This window comes from Homo sapiens, chromosome 17 (genome assembly GCF_000001405.40).
Source record: "Homo sapiens chromosome 17, GRCh38.p14 Primary Assembly".
In the NCBI taxonomy this organism is placed as follows: domain Eukaryota; kingdom Metazoa; phylum Chordata; class Mammalia; order Primates; family Hominidae; genus Homo; species Homo sapiens.
Window position 1 is genome coordinate 11,537,039 of NC_000017.11, and position 20,042 is coordinate 11,557,080.

The 20,042-nt window shown below is 42.3% G+C and overlaps 1 protein-coding gene across 3 annotated transcripts in view; it reads left to right on the plus strand.

The window, feature by feature from the left end:
- SHISA6 (shisa family member 6) overlaps positions 1–20,042 on the plus strand; it is a 322,851-nt gene that overhangs the window by 295,826 nt on the left and 6,983 nt on the right. For 2 of the 3 annotated variants that reach the window (NM_001173462.2, NM_001173461.2), the window contains one exon: positions 18,702–18,854. In NM_001173462.2, the coding sequence (NP_001166933.1) occupies positions 18,702–18,854 (153 nt within the window). Of the gene's footprint in view, positions 1–14,857; positions 14,915–18,701; positions 18,855–20,042 lie in introns of all 3 variants that reach the window. The other variant, NM_207386.4, reaches the window with a different exon arrangement.

Genomic DNA, 20,042 nt, shown 5'->3' on the forward strand with positions numbered 1-20,042 from the left:
AATCTGGCAGAAGACACATTGTTTCCCTGTGTGGGCATGACAACCAATGTGATGCCACTTTTTTTTCAAGCAGAATTGAAAATGAACATCCTTGCCAGAAGTAGGGAAGCAGAGCAGGCTCACTGGAGAGGAGTTCACACAGACCTGGGCTCTCAAGAAAAAGAGCACTCACTACTCAGCTCCAAGGGGACCCTGAGTCAGGGCTTCTGGGGTAAAGGGACAAGACTGAGAAATAGGGAAAGCAAGAGAGTGGACAGAAGCACAGGAATCAGTGACCTCATAATGTCATCAGCAACCAACCTGTCTTACTGGGTGGCGGCGGGGGGGATCCCACTTTCTGACACCAAGAGTCAAAGGCCTGCCTCTGTGCATTGACTTTTTCATGCCACCAAGATCTAAAGAGCTGTGTTGGAATGAATTAGAATGATAACTAATCTTCAAGCCGAAGTGCCAAGTGTGGGTTGGATTTGAGATTAGGAAGGAGGGGTGCCTTCTTTCCCCCAACACGCTCATACTCAGATATATGTGAAATGCTATGACCCACAAACCTGGCTACAGGCCCAGAATATCTGCCACTTTGGGCCTTAGGAAGAAGAGAAGAAGAAGAAGGAAGCTCAGATAAGCAATCCAGTATTATCACCATGGCCTCTTGTTCATTTTCTGCTACCTCAAGAGTTGATTCATTTACTTATTTATTAATCATTCAAAAAACTGCACAAGTACCTCCAAGGAGCCTAAGAAATATTGTGCTACGGTAAACACAAAAGCACTGTCATTGAACTCAACCTCCAGAAACATTCAATGTATAAATAGTTGAGGAAGAGAGCCTTACATGCAGAAGTATTTAATGAACTTTGAAAGAGTGAATGAATGAGACAGAGAAGAAGCAATATATGATGAAGCACCAAAAATGAATGACAGTGGTGACAAATTCTCCAATTATCAGAAGAGCAAAGAACTCCATTTTGCACTGGAGGACCTGAGTATGGCTTTATGGAGATGAACCTGAGTTTGTTGTTGTTGTTATTGTTGTTGTTTTTGAGATGGAGTCTGGCTCTGTCACCAAGGCTGGAGTGGTGCAGTGGCATGATCTCGGCTCACTGCAACTTCTGCCTCTTGGGTTCAAGCAATTCTCCTGCCTCAGCCTCCAAAGTAGCTGGGACTACAGGCACCCACCACCATGCCCAGCTAATTTTTGTATTTTTAGTAGAGGCGGGGTTTCACCATGTTGGCCAGGCTGGTCTCAACTCCTGACCTTGTGATCCACCCGCTTCGGCCTCCCAAAGGGCTGGGATTACAGGTGTGAGCCACCACATCCGACCTACCTGAGTTTTATCTTCAAGGATTGGAAGAGTTTGGGAGAAGTGAGAAGGAGAAGAACAATCAAAGTGGAAGATGTTCTTCCCAAGGCAAGCACCGAGGAATAGGGGTTTTGGGGACAGCAGAAGGAAACCAGTCCGTGTGAGTCCCTGGCATGTTGAGTGAAATGAAATGGGCCTGGACTATAGGGCAGCCTTGAAAATGAAGTTCCACCTGCAGCATTGCCCAAAGTGTGGGCCAGTTTCCAGCAGTCACCTAAGATGCTTTTAAAAAGCTGATTCCTAGAGCCTGTGTCGAATCTTCCAAAATCATAATTTATGGGGTGGAACGAAGGCCCAGAATCTTTTTAATCAGTTCCTCATGTAATTCTTAAGTACACTAGAGTTTAAAACTCGTTGGCCTTAAGCATCTAAACTTTAACCTGGTGGTAGTTAAAATACTTGCAGGCTCAAGGCCAGGATGACACAGCATTGGAGAAACCAGGTTATCATAGCAATTCTGGAGTGTGGTGATCAGGCCCCAGACATGAGAGTTATAGCCAATATCTATATCACCTCTTTGTTTTTTTGTTGTTGTTGTTTTTGTTTGTTTGTTTGTTTGGAGATGGAGTCTCGCTCTGTCAACCAAGCTGGAATGCAGTGGCACGATCTTGACTTACTGCAACCTCCACCTCCTAGGTTCAAACAATTCTCCTGTCTCAGCCTCACCAAGTAGCTGGGACTACAGGCGCCTGCCACCATGCCCGGCTAATTTTTTTACTTTTAATAGAGACGGGGTTTCACCATGTTGGCCAGGCTGGTCTTGAACTCCCAATCTCAGGTGATCCACCCGCCTTGGCCTCCCAAAGTGCTGGGATTACTGGCATGAGCCACCACACCCGGCCCACCTCTTTGTTTTATACTCTCAGGATCCCATTGATCCAGCCATTGTTTATGCCTTTGGGCATTATTTGTACCCCCCAACTTTCCTTTGACTCACTAAACAGAAATTGCTTTTGTTATATCTGCCATTGAATGATCATGAAGAATGGCAGACACCAAATCACCCTTCCTCTGTTTCACCTACTGCCCACTCCAAACACACACATAACCAAACACATGCAAACATCAATACATGCAAACACATACATATCCACACAGTGTATTTGTACCACAGAGTCAACTGCCCACCTCCCTTAGCAGATAAACCTGCTACCAAACGTGAGGAAACTCACTGTCAGCTTCTTCAGCCTTGGCTGCTGAGGCAAGGGTGCATGTGCTGCTTCTAGGAGACCTGCTAACTGCTGCTGGTGGTCCACATGCTCTCAGTGGGCAGAGGGGCCCCAGCTTGCTTCTCTGCTTCCTGCAAACAGCCTTGGAGCTCAAACGGAGATTGTTTTGTCACTTTGTGGTCTTGTCAGCATATCGATCAATGAGTCCTGAGCGCTAATTGTTGTTATCCAGCTCAATCCATCAGGAAGGCTGATATCCCTGACTGGGCACTGTGCCAAAGCCCAGGACTCATGAAGAGAGAAGGAGGAGGGACTGGTAATTGAGGGAGAGGAGATATGATCAGTTGATAAGTCCAGAGAAAGACAGGATGCCAAACTTAACAGACTGCATGCATATCCCCGCAGAGAAGAGCCCTCGACAAAATCAGAGAATTGTTAGCTTTGCTATTCGGTGTACGTCATGAATTCTGCTGGCCTCCCTTCCACATCAACACATATCTTCCCACACGTTCCAGACCTCCACCCATTACATAGAAAACCATCTGCCCGAACCCCCACAGGACATCTTTGGAGTACACTAACGTAGCATTTGTCAAAGCTGGTTAATGAACCTATGCTGGAAATTTCCATTTGACCCTCTGTATCGACTCTCCACCCTTCTCAGTGCTCCTGGATGCTGACCTGTGGGTATTACTTTGCTAGGTTTCTCATTCTGTGGCTGCTGGTTGGGTTTGATAAATGGGGAATCCCCAAAAGAGAGCAGAGAGATGGAGGAGAGTGAAGTTGGGACACTTCATTCCCAGGCTACCTTCCTGTACATTAATGGGAGTCTGGCTATGTCTCTCAACTAAAGATCAGAGGACCCTGTGTACACAGTTCTCCCTGCCTTTGGGTTCCAGAAGCCACTCCTTTCCTTCATCACTCAGGCCCAGTTTGGCTAAAGCTCTCACTTCTACTAGTCCTGGAGCACTACAGTGTCTCTTGGGGGTTCCATACATCCTGCTAACACTTTTGAATGTAGTCCTTTTGTTAAAGTCCCCCCAGAATACCCCAATGGATGTATATGTTTCCTGTCTACACTCTGTGTTAGGTGAAAAAATTGCTCTATGGTCAAATAACTAATAAAATGGGTTATTTATGGTTGGACTTCTCAGTGCCTTTAACATGCATGGTAAATGTCTGAGAGGAAGGATATAGTATGCAGGATTCAAAACTTACTTAACTCAAAACCACACCCATTCTTACAGAGTTCAGAGAAAGTATTTCATGGAACCCAGATATATACCAACACCCAAGGGCTACAAGCAATGAGATGCACAGCCACCAGAAAACACAAACCTTCTTGGAGTGTCTTCTGCGGAGCACAGAGAGACTTTGTAAATAGCATGGAAGCTTTCAGACAATGACGCATAATGAATAAAAGTACAGGCTTGGGAAAGTCCTGTCTCTGCCACCAACTCTCTGATCTTGGACAGGTTACTTCACTTCTCTGAACCTCTTTTCTCACCTATAAAATGCAGTAGCTGAACTTGATCAAGAGATTTTAAGTTTATTACCAGAGGAAATGTTTCTTCTAATGAAATCTTAGGTAGAGGCCCAGTACAGAAGACAGATGGAAACCCAGCTGCTCTGGGTGAGGCGGAGGTCAGGTGAGTAGGAGGAATGCTGACACTCCATCCCTTAGACACTATGCTTTAAACAGTGGCTTTTGAGCCACATCCACACAACCCTCAGGTCTCTCTGAAGCCAGTTTGGGAAACAGCATCCTAGAGGCACCTTTCAGTGACTGGTTTCATGTGAGCACAAGGTGGTCTTCATATGGAATCATGTTGGCCCCCACCTGAAGGAGGCAGAGGAAGCCACTGAGCTTATACTTAGAGCAAGAACTGCAAAGAGTCCCATGTGGAATCTTTCTTTTTTCATTTCTGAAAATGTGTCAGTCTGGTACAACAAATAACTCCCTTTATTTTGAGGCAAAGGAACTTTAGAACCTATTTTCCCCTTCTATGAGATGTCTTTAATACCAAATGACTCATCCCAGACAATATTCTAACTATTAATATGTATGAATGAGTCTGAAATCTGGACACAGGTATCATTCTCCCAGGATACAAAATGTTCAACCTAAAATGTATTTGGAATTTTACTAATACCAAAAGATCTTAAGATGCCTTTAAGCTACCCAGGGAGTGAGGACACAACCAGAGCTTCCCCTTCATCTCCACTTCCCTCTAACATCTCTTTGGCTGAGCACTGAGGTCTCCAGGGTACTAGGAAGCTAGAGGATGATTGGGGAGACTGTGCCCAGAACTCCAGTGAAGCTGGTCATGCCCCAGTAAGAAGGTTGGCAAATCCTTTCCTCATAAAGCAATTATGAAGCTAGAGAAAATTTATAAAAACAGCCATTTCAGTGCTCTGGAAATTGACCAAAGGTATACAATAATCTGAGAAGCATTTATGGTTGAACAACTGCTGAACTTCAGGTAAGAACAGTGAGGGGTTTATTAGCTCTAGACATTCTTGCCCAGAGCTGCTCCACCCTCCCCGCTGATCGGTCAGCACAGAGGTTCTACCTGGGTGGGACAGCCTGTGAGTACTGGCAACTGCTACTGTGGTCAAAACAGACTCAGCAGATTTGGGGCACTGTGAGATACCCTTGCCTTCTCATCACATATAGAGGAGCAGCAATACAATAAATGGCTGACTCCTCAACCAAAACAACAATGGCCAGAGGCAGTTGGGAAGACCTTTTCACAGTGCTACAAGAAAAAAAAAAAAAAGCCTGTCAACCAAGAATTCTACATACAGCAAAAATAATCTTCAAAAATGAAGGTGAAATAAAAACATTCTCAGACAAACAAAGACTGAGAAAATTATTTGCTAGCAAATCTGAATTATAAGAAATACTAAGGAAAGTTCAGGCTGAAAGGAAACAGACATTAGGACATAGCTCATTTGAGTTCATGCATTTGAATTCACACATATTAATTGTTAGAATATTGGTGGGGATGAGTCATTCAGTATTCAAGACATCTTATAGAAGGATGAAATAGGTTCTAAAATTCTTTTACCCCGAGATAAAGGGAGTTATTTGTTGCCTCAAACTGACACATTTTCAGAAATTAAAAAAAGAAAGGTTCCACATGGAACCTTTTGCAGTTCTTGCCTAAGTGTAAGCTCAGTGCCTTCCTCTACCTCCTTCAGATGGGGGCCAACATGATTCTCTGTGAAGACCACCTTATTCTCACATCAAAGCAGTCACTTAAGGGTGCTTCTAGGACAGCATTTCCAAAATGGCTTCAGAGAGACCTGAGGGTTGCTTGCAGGTGCCTCAAGGGCCACTGTGTAAAGAATAGTGTCTAGGATGGAGTATGAGCACTCTTCCTACTCAATCAACCCCTGCCTCTCCCAGAGCAGCTTGATTTCCATCTGTCTTCTGAATTGGGCTTCTACCTAAGATCTCATTAGAAGAAACAGTTCCACTGGTAATAAATTTAAAATTTCATTATCAAGAAAGAAGAAATTTAAACAGGAAGACATTTAAAACATTAGAAATTACAAATATGTGGCTAATGCAAGAGGCTCCGTAGACATATTTTTCTTGTGTCTTCTCCTAACTTTTAAAAGACATAAAAGTATATAAAGCAATAATTTTTATACTGCATTGTTGAGTGTAATGTATGTATACATATATATAGAGAGAGATGTAATATATATGACAATGATAAGACAAAGGAGGAGGATTCATTGATGCACTGTTGGAACAAAGTTTCTACATTCTACTGGAATTAGTTAATTCTGAGGATTGTGATGAGGTGAGACACATATGCAATCCCTAGAAGAGCCACTAAGAAAACAATTTTTAAAGTATAAATGTCAAAGGAATTAAAATGGTACAATATAAATAGAGATACATGCCACGTTTAGGGATTGGAAGACTGGACAGCAAAGATGTCAGTTCTCTTTAAAATAATGTACAGATTCAATGTAATTCCTACCAACATCCCTGCAAAATTTTTTTCTGGCTATAGACAATATTATTATAAAATTGATAAGAAAAGGCAAAGGAAGTAGAATAGCTAAAAGAATTTTGAAAAAGAAAAATAAAGTAGGAGGATAAGTCTACTCAATTTCAAGAAATATCATATAGCAACAGTAATCAAAACTGTGTGGCATTGGCAGAGGGATATACATATAGATAAATGGAACAGAATAGAAAACTCAGAAATAGGCCCATGCAAATATACCCAACTGATTTTTTGAAAAAGGTGCAAAAGCAATTTAGTGAAAAAAGGTGATCTTTTTAAAGAAGTGATTCTAGAGCAATTGGATATTTATAAGCAAAAAAAAAAAAAAAACAAAAAAAAGAACTTCAATGTAAGTCTCCTACCTCATATAAAAATTAACTCAAAATAGATCAGGTATTTACAATTGGATATTCATAAGCAAAAAAAAAAAGAACTTCAACATTTAAGTCTCCTACCTCATATAAAAATTAACTCAAAATAGATCATGTATTTAAATGTAAAATATAAAACTATAAAGCATGAAGAAAAAAACAGGAGAATTTTTTTCAGGCTTCAGGGATAGAAGAGAGTTCCTAAGCTTGATACCAGAAGCACAATGTATAAAATTTAAAAATTGATAAATCAGACTTAAAATTAAAACATTTGCTCTGCAAAAGACTCTATTAAAAGGATGACAAGACAGGGTATGCACTGGAAAAACTATTTGCAAACCTTCTATCTAATAATGGACTAATATCTAGGATATAAAAATAATTCTCAAAACAGGAAAATGCAATCTGATTTAAAAATGGGCAGAAGTAACGACGAGACATTATACTGAAGATATATAGATGAAAAACAAGCAAATGAAAAGATGTCCAACATCATTAGCCATAAGGGAAATGCACATTAAAACCACAATGAGATATCGCTACATACCTAAGGTATAAATAGCTAAAATTAAAAAAAAAGAATAGTGACAACGCCAAATACTGGCAAGGACATAGAGAAACTGGATCACTCATTCATTTTTGGTGGGAATGTAAAATGGTACAGTCACTATGGAAAACAGTTTGGAAGATTTTTTAAAAATTAAATATGCAGGCCGGGTGCGGTGGCTCACACCTGTAATCCCAGCACTTTGGGAGGCCAAGGCGGGTGGATCACGAGGTCAGGAGATTGCGACCATCCTGGCTAACAGGGTGAAACCCCGTCTCTACTAAAAATACAAAAAAATTAGCCAAGTGTGGTGGCAGACAGCTGTAGTCCCAGCCACTCGGGAGGCTGAGGCAGGAGAATGGCATGAACCTAGGAGGCGGAGCTTGCAGTGAGCCAAGATCACGCCACTGCACTCCAGCCTGGGCAACAGAGAAAGACTCTCTCTCCAAAAAAAAAAAAAAAAAAAAATTAAATATGCAACTACCATACAACTCAGTAATTGCATTCCTAGGTATTTATTCCAGGTATATGAAGCTGTATGTTGACATGACAACCTGCACACGAATGTTGACAGCATCTCCATTCATAATATCCCCAAACTGAAAACAACCCATATGCCTTTCAACAGGTCGATGGTTTAAAAAAAAAAAAAGTATGATACATCCATACCATGGAATATTCACTACTCAGCAATAAAAAGCAATGAACCATTTACATATGCAACAACCCGGAACAATCTCCAGAGAATTACACTCGCTGAAAGAAAACCCAATCCCAAAGTTAACATACTGTATGATTCCATTTCTATAACATTCACGAAATAGCAAAATTATAGGAATGAACGATTTATTGGTTGCCAGGCATTAAGGAAGGGGTGGGTGCAGGAAGGAAGTGGGTGCGGCTATAAAAGGGCAACAAGAGGAATCCTTGTGTTGACAGAAATGTTCTGTACATTGACTGTGTTAATGCCAATATTCTGATTTTGATATAGTACTATATTTTTACAAAATGGAGAAACTGAGCAATGAGTACACAGGATCTTTCTGTATTATTCATTATAGTTGCATGTGAGACTATAACTCTCCCAAAATAAAAATGGTACAATAAAGACAACATTTAGCTTGCTTATATGTCTGTGACTTGGGCCAAGTTCAATAGAGATGGCTCATCTCCATTCCAGTTGTTTCAGGTAGGACAGCTAGAAGGCTGTGGGTCAGAACTATCTGAAGTCTTGTCCCCTCACAGGGCTGGCAGTGGATGTTGGCTGTCAACTGAGACCTCAGCTGGGAATATCAGCCCTTTCATGTATCCTTCTCATGTGGCCTGGATTTCCTTACAACTTGGCAGCTGGAATCTAAGGTTGAGTGTGCCAAAAGAAAGAGAGCCAGGTGAAAGTCGTAACACTTTTTGCACCCAGCCTCGGAAGTCGTGCAAGGTTACTCCTGCTGTATTCTATTCATTGAGACAGTCACACAGGCCTCCAGTTACAAGGAGCAGCAGGAAAATAAGTCCTATCTAATGAGTGGATGGCAAGGTTATGGGAGAGCCTGTGGGACTAGAAATATAACTGTAGCCATTTTTGGAAAATACAATATGCCCCGGTCTCTAAAGACTGACTTTATCTCTTCCAAACACACATGACTGCCCATAGCAACCTAGTTTATGTGTCATGAGTACAGTCATACAGAGACACCAAAACTCTCTCTTATAATGATTTCTAATTTCTGGAGTAGGGACTTGAATTGACTTAGGTTAAGTCAAGCACTCATACTTGGTCTAGTAGCCCTGACACCTGGGGTCTGGGCTTTGCGGAGAAGGCATGATCATACTACACAACTATAGCAGAGAGGAGAAGATACTCCAATGAAGAAAGGACCATTCTATGAGAATGAGGAATCCCTTTTAGCTAATTGGACAACCCATGAAGTACCACATAAGATAGAATACTCTTTCTGTGTCATCAAAAGATAAGCATAAAATAAAATGACACAGAAAGGTTAGATATAAAAGGCTAGACAAAGTTTATCAGGCAAGTGCAAACAAAAAGGAAGCTGGGATGGCAATATAAATGTCAGATCAAGTGGACTTAAAGGCAAAAAGAAGGCATTAAATAGGACAGAAAGGGGCCAGTCGCAGTGGCTCATGCCTGGAATCCCAGCACTTTGGGAGGCCGGGCGGGTTGATCACTTGAGGTCAGGAGTTTGAGACCAGCCTGGCCAACATGGTGAAACCATGTCTCTGCTAAAAATACAAAAAATTAGCTGGATGTGGTGGTGGAAGCCTGTAATCCCAGCTACTCGGGAGGCTGAGGCAGGAGAATCATTTGAACCCAGGAGGCAGAGGTTGCAGTGAGCCAAGATTGCGCCACGGCGCCACTGTACTCCAGCCTGGGCAATAGAGCAAGACTCCATCTCAAAAAAAAAAAGAAAAACAAAGGACAGAAAGGGTTATTTAATGTCGATAAATGGTACATGCGATAAACAAGACACAGATAGCGTCATGTGCTTTTTGTGCTGAATAATGTAGCTGTGAAATATATAAAACTAATTCTGTAACAAATACAAAGAGGAAGTGATGGGAACACAAGAGTAGTGGAAGACCTTAACACATCACCCTCAGTCTTTGAGAGATTTAGTAGGCAAAGGATGAATTAGGATGCAGAGGAATTGAATAATGGATTTCATAGATATAATAGGAACCTGCTTTAAGAGATATATGTCAATTTTGTACTCTACCAAAAGAAAATATATCTTTTCTCTAAGTACTCATAAAACATTTACAAAAATTGATTGTATATTAGTCCACAAAGGAAATCTCAGTAAGTTCCAAAAAGCAGAACTTGTACAGGCTCTGCTCTCTGACCACAGTACAATACAATAGAAAATTAATGGCAAAAGTTCAAACAAACAAACCCAAACATTTTGAATTTTAACACTCTACTAAATAACTCTTGGGTCAAAGAGAAAACTAAGGCTGCAATTACAGATCATTTAGGATATAACAACAATAAGAACACTGTGTATTGTTGCTCATGGAATAGTGCCAGAGAGAAATTCATAGTTAAAGACCTTATATTGTTAACAGAAAAGAGTGAAAATAAATGCATCAAAGATTTAAGCCAGGAAATGAGAAAACAATAACAAATGAAACCAAAGAAAATTAGGAGGCAGGAATTAGCAAATTCAAAAGTGTAAAATAATGATGGGAAGAGTTAAAAAATTATAGAACTGATATGTATAAGAGGTAATTCTGTGAAAGAGTACTAATATGAATAAATTACTAATCCAGAAAACACTGACACAGAAGATTAAGAAGAAAAGCGATCCAAGTTCATATATGAAGATTTTTGTGAGTGATATTTTAGTTTTAAGCTAAGGAAGTTTAAAATGTCCAATGGATTTTTTTAAAGAAAAATTGAAATTGCAAATTGAATTTAGAAATTGGAAAGCTTGAATGAATCACTATGCAAGGATTGTGTTGCCAAGTATGGGAAGGCAATATACATAACATTACATAGTTAAGAATGTGGGCCTAGCGCCAGCCTGCCTGGGTTCATATCCCAGCTTCACCTGTTAGCTACGCAACATTCGGCAAAATATTCAAACTCTCCAAACTTCAGTTTCCTTATCTCTAAACTGGCAATAACAACACAATCTGCCTCCCAAAATTGGTGTTGTGCAGTTGATGAAATAACACAAGCCAAGCCTTTAGCCCTGTGCCAATAGAAGGACCCCCCGAAAAGACACTACACGTTTTTATTGTTGCATTCCTCCGAACATCCAAAAAACAGATGCTTCATGCTATACTGTTTCAAAGCATACAAAAAGATGGAAAGTTATTCACTTGGTTTTACAAAATTATCTTAATACAAAAGCTTGACAGGGTTAGCACAAAAAATACAAATGTTATTTATGAATGCATATTTCATATATATATATATATATACATATATCACAAGAAAATAGAATCCAGTGTTGTAATAAAATAATAAGACACCAGAATCAAATAAGATATTTCTCAGTAATAGACAAGTGAATCGTTCAACATGAGGAAATCTATCAATCTACCCTGTCACATTGCTAGGCAACTGACAGTGTGTTGACTTAGAAATGCTGATTTTAGTTATTGGGCTAAGGAAATGAGACATCGCTAAAGATGTGTGCTCAGGGTTGTTTGATGTCACATTATTAAACTTTTGAACAATTTAAATACCAAAAATAGGGGACCTGCTTAAATATGCTTAAATATATTATGCTTAAATGATATATAGACATACAGAATAGACTATTCTATAGATAGAATATTGTGAAACCATATAAGGTGTTTCAAATAATATTTCAAAACATAAAAATATACTCAAGACACTTTCATTTATTCATTAGGTATGAAGAAGATTAAAGTAGTATATGCAGCATGATTACTTATGCAAAAACTAGATATTTTTATCTGTGTGCATAAGTAAATGTATGTATAAGCATTTAGGTGGTTTCATCGCTTTTACTACTATAAAAATGCCACAGCCAATTGTCTCACACAATTGTCATTCTGCATACATGTAAAGATTAAATCATGCTATTTTAATTCATTTTAAAAACTACAGTCTGTACAAAATGACACATATACAAGATTATTCATTGCAATGTTATTTAGGTGGGGGAGTTGGGGTTGAGGGTGTATGTAAGCACTCATATAATCATCCACAGGCGGAAGGTAATAAAAGGAAATACAACAAAATGTCACAGCGGTTATTTTAGGGTTATTCTCATCCTTGTACTTAACTTAAAAATGTTCTCCTTAATGCCAAGGTAGGAAAAAATCCGCTGTTAATGAAACATTTTAAGTGAGATTCAAACAAAAGGAAAAGCACTGTACTTGTAAATCAAGACATATATTGTTTGTGACTTCATCTGTTAAAAAAATACAACAAAGATTTCAATTAAGGTGTTTAAAAAGTTCTACATAGTGTCTGGCAAATGGTAGGCCAATAATATATATTCATTCTACTTCAGTCCTCATTTAAATGAAGATCATTGTGAAGACGAGTTTTTTTAAAATGCCTATGAAAGTGTTCAGCACAGAGCAAGAAGCCTAATTGGCTATCAGCAATTATTAAGTGAATCTGAGTCATAAATAACCCTTTCCTGGTGATACCTCAACTCTGAGATGGAAGTCTAGAAGTGTTTCTTACTGACTGCCACTCTCCAGAAACTCCAGACTGAATGACCTGGGTTTCTCCCATTTCTCTGTGATCCTGCCATATTGTTTAAAAACGAACAAATAAACCAAACAACAACAACAACAAAACCTCATTGGAACTAGTTTTCTTCTTGCCTCTGGAGGACAAGCAAGAAAAAATGTTTTTTAATCTCTCTGGATTCTCTCTTCTTGCTTAAATTCAGGTCCAGTGTAGAACTGTTTCAATCTTTGGCAAACAGTTTCTTCCCTGGCTTCAACCTAATCTGTCTTGCGAAGGGACAGTATCTTCATGTGAGAAATTGTGGCCTACTTCCCAAACCCACCCCCACTGGATAGTGTGCTTGACATTTTTTTTTTTTTCCGAGACGAAGTTTTGCTCTATCCCCCAGGCTGGAGTGCAGTGGCGCGATCTCGGCTCACTGCAACCTCTGCCTCCCAGGTTCAAGTGATTCTCCTGCCTCAGCCTCCCAAGTAGCTGGGATTACAGGCACATGCCACCCCATGTCTGTATAATTTTTGTATTCTTGGTAGAGATGGGGTTTCACCATGTTGGCCAGGCTGGTCTCAAACTCTTGACATGGTGATCCATCTGCCTTGGCCTCTCAAAGTGCTGGGATTACAGGTGTGAGCCACTGCGCCCGGCCCTGTTGTGCTTGACTATTTAGAGTTCAGCCTTCACCAAGGGAATGCTGGATGATTCCATTGGTTTGGGAAATTTTGTCTGGTGGGAATTCACAGGATTTGTCTTGGAAATTGAGAGTGGAGCTAAAAGAAATCTTGACAAAAAGGTCTATTATGGGCCTGGATTTAGGAGATGGCTACAGGGAAGAGGACTTTGGGATACACTGGATATGGAGAATGACAGGAGGAAAATGGTGACGATGATTGAAGTTTCACATTCCAGGCCCACGGAACAACAGTACCATGGACAGAAGCCTGGACACCAGAATAAAATGAGGAGCTCACTTTGGGACTTAATGATTTGGGGTGAGGGTAGGAATTTCAAGGGCATGTCCATAAGCATAAAATCTAACCCTACAGATCAAGATGGACCTTGAGCTAGAGTTGTAGATTTGGGAACTATTAATCTGGGCAAGTGGATGTAAACCTTGGAGTAGAGCTGAAGTCTTCACAAAGATGCCTGAGCATTATGAAGCCCTGGTATTTACAGAATAGAAGGGGAAATGGGACATAGTGAAGGAGCTATGGAATGAGTAGCCAGAGTATAAGGCCAAAGGCAGGAAAGAAGGCTTCAGTCACAAGATGTAAAGAAATGAAAGCAGATATTCTAGACTGCAAGAAGGACAGGGCTGTAACCTGCGGTTTAGGTAAACTAAAGCAAAGGCCTCATGCCTCCTCTTCCCTTTGCTTTAGTTGAAATCAGATACATGCAACAATGAAAAACAAGAACATAATGTTCAGTTGAAGCAATCATAGAATGCCAGAGTGCACTGTAGTGGTCAGCCACATTTTCATTCAAACAATTTTAAAAGCTTTTGGAACGCCTTGAACTTCAGGGTTTGGCAACTGTAACTGTGTTAATTGTGTGGCTTATTCCATCTAAGTGGAATATTATTAATAAAGGAAATGCCTTTGAACTATTAGACTGTGTCATTTAAAGGCAGGACAGAGCCTAGAATCCAGGACTCCTGATCTCAGGCAGTGGACAGCTCAGGTCATCTTGCTGCATCTCAGGATGCATCCAGACCCTCCTGTATAAAGGCTTAGGGACAAATCAGAGTCCTGTAAAGTGGAAGCGCCTTAAGTCAGGGCACCCTCATTTTGGTTAACCACACCCTAATACCCACCACTCAATGAAATCTGCTTCCCCGGCTTAGTTCCCCCACCCTGTCCATGCACGCATGCATGCATACCTGCCAAACACTCCCTACTCTCCATCCTTCTCCTCTTCCACCCACCCCTACGAAGCCTCTATAACTAGTTGGCCTCATCCCGAGATGTGGGTGGGTCACCATGGTGACAGAGGAAACCCTGTTGCAGAAGGAGAGAGACAGAAACAGCAGGGGACGTTTCTTGGAGCCTCATACAATGACCTCTGCCTTTCTTAGAAGTGCTTCCTTTAAGTCAGAGAAGCACATTAGAGGTAAAGAGAGATGCTGTTATGTTGGAGAGATAGTGGAATGCCTGAACTCTTCTTTAAAAATTTCTTTTCTATGATTTTCAGGTGATCATCAATATAACCATCCGATTTTGAGCAGTGTTACCCAGATCCCGCCACATGGTGAGAGATGATTGAGAGCACTCTGCATTTCCTCCTTATTTCGAGTGGCACCATTCTAAGGATGGATGCCTATCAGGGCATCAAACACACGGTCATAAACTCACTGAAGCTAAGGAGGTCCAAGGAGCCACAGGCTCGCCCTCCTCCAGGGCCACAATGCTCTAATCTCACTTGTAGGCTATTTTCCCCTTGGTGTTTCTGTCTCCGATATCAGAATGATCTCTTGACATAAACAGAAAGGGGCTAGACCCATTTCTACTTGCCACCTGTATCACTTCTTACAGTCATAAATTCCATATGTCCACAGCAAGGAGTGGAACACCCTCCTTTGTTCAAAGCTATTTGTGATATCATTTACGAAAGACATGAGACTTGGTTAAACTTTATGATCCTCCCCAGGCTAATTAAGATTTGATAAAACTCAAAACTGATTTGGGCTTTAGCCTCTTGGCAGAAAAAAGAGGCTGAAAATTGTTGAGTGGAGGAGTGTTAGCATAGTGCCCAAGGGTTATAAAACTATGTTTCCCTCTTAGATTATAATATCCTCCCACCAGATCACAGCTGAACAGAGAAAATCTATTTTTGGCACCTGCTCAAGACTTGATAGAACATAAGACAGCCACATAAATTGCGAATTATCAGTCATTTTTGTCTCTTTGCTGTGAAAGAGTGAAAACATCATTAAAATTTTAGTGAGAGAGAAACTCAAAACAATGATAAATCCTACAGGCTACCTGGTAGAGAGACCTACCACTGTTATGTCAGATTATGGTGTGCCTCAGCACTGAAGTTGAGGGATATTATAATTAGGAGGAAGAGATTGGAATATTTTCATGTGCTATGCTCCAGGTGGAAATAAATGATGAAAGCAATAGTATAATCAGATTTGTCAGGTTGTGGGGTCTAAAAAGTTAGAACTGGGAGAAACTGGGGAGATCAGTGAAAAGAGGTTGATACCAGTGGTGATGTTGACAGTGGGAAAAGAAAGGACGGTTGAGATATGAAACCTTTTGAAGAAAGAATTGGAGAAAGTTCCTTACTAACTGAATGTGGCTGATGAGAGCCAATGATGACACTGATTAGAAAAATGAAGGGTTTTATTAACAAAATCTAAGGAATCAGGAAAACAGTCAGTATGTATGGGGGATGGAGTTGTCAGTGAGTTTGGATCTGGACACCTGGAGTTTGCAAGAAAAAAATATTCAACAGGCAGGAATGCAGACATGAAGTCTGGAGGAAGGTTAGAGCTGAAGATGTGAGTGAAGCTTTGGAGGCAGTAACAGAAGCCTCAGGAGTGGGGGCACTCTACACTGAAAGAGAAGTGCAGAAGGCAGAGGCAGGGAGCCTGGGGGATGCCCACAGTGATGAAGCAGCCTCAGGAAGAGCCAGAAAAGGCACGCAAGGAGAGCTCCCACTTGCTCAGTCACACTACCCAGCTCATTTTCCTGAGAAGGAGCCAACACAAGCAGACTCCTGAATACAACAGGAGGAGCCATTCTTCCCTCCTTCTCTTCCTGTCTTCTTTTTTCCAACTGGTGCAAGGAGATGGGGGTTGATGAGACCTGGTCCCTGCCCTTGAGCAGCTCACAATGTAGTGAGAGTAGAGTTTTCTCTGCATTGCTTTCTTGGATGTTCCCTTCTTTCCCAGGAGCTGGCAGAGTGACTATCAAGCGAGGAGGGGGCCTGAGTCTACTTAATTAGTGTTCCACAAAGAGCATTAATTGGATCCTTATTCTGGGCCAAGCACTATGAAGGATTCAAAAAAAATTGGAAAGCAAGGCCCTGCTGTCAAGGAGATTGCAATATTTGGAGATCCACAATCCCAACTCAAGTCAAATTATTAGAGATGTTAGATACTAAAGTGGGTGGAACTGACTAGAAGAGCAATACAGGCTTAAAGAACAGATATTGTCGTTGGCTAAAAAGATGGGACATTGGCACAGCAAAATGTCTTGAGTGAGGCGGGAATTTCATACAGAAGAGTAAAGGAGGCATTTCTATAGGAGGGAGAGTATCCCATGAAGGCAGAAGGCAAGGGAGAGCTGGCCTTGGCTCAGGGGTATGTCCTGTAACACAGTGGTGGAACAAGAGTATCCAGAAAGATTGCATTTGGAAGTGGGTGAGCTGAGTGATGCCTTGTTGAGAGTATAATGCCAACAGGCAGAAGGAGGTTCCTTCTTCTCCAGCATAGCCAAAGTGAAGAGACAAGTGCTGAGAGATGAGTGGCTATTACTCCCTCTGAGGAGCAGCACTCCCAAGTTCCTGCTCACTCCACTTCCTGGCATCTGTCCTGATGCATGCCAAGGAGGCTCTTTCTGTACAGCATGTTCTAATGGGGATGTAGAGCACCCTCCACCCCCTCACATATGTCCTGAGCTGGCATGAACACCAGCTCACTGGCTGAGCTTCCCTGGCTCAGTCCCCAGTGTTGGGGGTGACAATGAAGGCAGGAAGGGGTAGAAAAGTCAGGAGTCCCCGGTGCTTGGGGCTGCCCTTGGACAATGCCTAGGAGGGCTTCTCTGTCTCCCACCTCTCACACAGTCCACAGAATTCCTGCTTTCCACGTTTCCACACTCTTTTTGCCAAGAGGTGTGGCAGTCCTCCTGCACATTCGACCGAAGTTAGAGCCTGCCCCCTCTCAGAAATTCTTTGGCCTTGAGGTGTCCCAAACAAAAAGAGGATGGAGGAATGACACAGCGAGACTATAGCCTTCCAACTGCCTCACTTCTGGGAATGGTACCACCATTTCCCATGGCAGCCACTCATTGACTTGTTGTGGCTTCTCCTCCTCAAGTCTGTGAAGCACTGAGGCATGCTTGTCTTCTTCCCCAGGATCTCCAGCTCTTTCTGTCCCCTCATCCTCACTGCCTCCCTCACCGGCCCTGCATGCCCCCTCTCCAGATGTCATTCATCTGGCCCTGAGCCCAGCGCACACTGCACTGGGCTCCCATCAGCCATCCTCTCATCTCCCTTTCACCTTTTCTCCCACTTTTCCTTCCATTCTTTTCCCCAGCTCTGGCAATGAACAACACTCCTTTCCATCTCTTCAGATTCTTGCACCTCAATGCTCTATCTCAGGGGAAGGAAGGAGAAAGTGGGGATGATGTGCTATGCATTTTTGTCTAGATTCTTTCCTCCAGCAGCTTAGAGATGGCTAAGGGGGCTTCAGAGAAAGGAATTAGAGTAAGATAAAATAGCTCTGTGGCTCACTGTGGCTTGTCAGGTGCAGAGCTTGGAGAGGAGAAAGGGGCTACATGAGCTGTGGAAGGATGCCATGGACGGAGCATGGGTTGGGTCTCAGTGGAGCTGGGTCCTGGACTCAGTTCTTCTATGGGTACATAAATAACATAAGTCACTCCATGTCCTCCAACTCAAGATTTTTCTGAGCCTGAGAGCTAGGTTTGCCTAAAGCTATTAGGAAAAGGACAGCACTTTCACACAGAAGTAGATGATTTTTATGATGCCCCTCAGCTCCATCAGGCTTACGTTTTCAGCAGATAACCCAGAGATGTACTGAGAGAGAGAATTCGCTCCTCAGACTCAAGAGTCGAGTCTCCCATTCACAGAATGGTGAACTGTCTTGGTGGTGGCTAAAACAGCATCTGCCCCTAGGCTTATTGACAACTGGAACTGAGCATGAGGGAAACTGAGTCAATAGTATCACCTATGTCCAAGCACAGAGGTCCAGGAAAGGAGGATGGGGATTCGAATCAGGGGTGAGGCAGAAAGCACACCTGCCACAGACATGGTCCTCATTAATACAAAACACCCCTCCCTTTTCTTGCAGAGAAGCCACGGATGAACAACATCCTGACATCAGCCACCGAGCCCTATGACCTCTCCTTCTCCCGCTCGTTCCAGAACTTGGCCCACCTGCCCCCATCCTACGAGTCTGCAGTAAAGACCAACCCCAGCAAGTATTCATCTCTGAAGAGGCTAAGTAAGTTGAATTTCCCCCAAGTTGGGGTCTGTCTCTGGGGCTCCAAGATATCTTCCTATGTCACACTCTCTTGCTCCATACCCCATAGGACAGCTGTCAAATCCCAAGAATAAAGAAGGAGTTGCAGGATGAGAGAAGAGAATAGACAAGCTCTTTGCTTTTGTTCCTTATGGACTGAGCCCATTCTTTCCATACATAGAAAGAAGACCATGGAATCCTCAGATTCACATCCCTATAGGAGACGGCCTTCCAATTCATGCACCAGTTTAACTGCGGGAGAAAGCCTTCTCCCAGTCCCGCACGCAACTGCCTTCTTCAAACCATGGGCCTTCCTTGCTGTATACCCTATACTGGATAGAGGCTAGCAATGGCCAGAACTTTCTCTGAGACCTCTCCCAGAGGCCCACAAACCAGCTCCTTCTCCAACCCAGCCAACAGTGTCTTGAGGACCTGAGATCCTTCACCTCCCATGCATACACCCCATTTCACCAGTTCAATCCAGTTTATCCAGTGATGCCAGCTCTGCCTCTTGAGTCTGGGGAGACTCTGGGCATCAATGGGTTAAAGATACAAAAATGTCAAAAAATTTCCCTAAAGGACAGCTCTTCCTCCCTGGCTTTCTGGCCTTGGACCTTCTCCTCCCATTTTCCCAGGAGTCTCTTTTGATGACCACCCAACTGCAGTTGGAGCCTCAAGGGCTGAGCATTTGCTTGAAAGCTTCAGGGTAACCTACCCTGACAGAAGTGCAGCCCAAGTCCACATCAGCCACCTCCATGGTGAAACGTGGAGTCTCTAGCTAGAGACGGGACTATCATAACCTGAGGAATCATCCCGAGGTGATGAAATTTGGCTCAGGAGGAAGGATACCCATCAACGACCCCGCTGCACCAACTGAAGAGCAGACAGAATTCCCACACTTTTGCAGAGATCTAGAAGGCCATGTGTAGGAGGCCTCATTTCTGAAATTTGGGGCAATGCAGGTTTGTGTGTAACCTGCAAGTTCAAGTAGGTTTGTAGCATGCAAGTCCAAGTAGGCTTGTAGCATGCAAGTTCCAGGCAAATTCAAGGGTACAGAGAGCAGTGTGAGCTTAGGAGGGCCTGCTGGATAGAGAGAAAGGTGGAGCATCTAAATGAGGCGCACATGTAAGATTACTCCAACCAGCTTGCGTTATGGGCACAGGTGGAGTG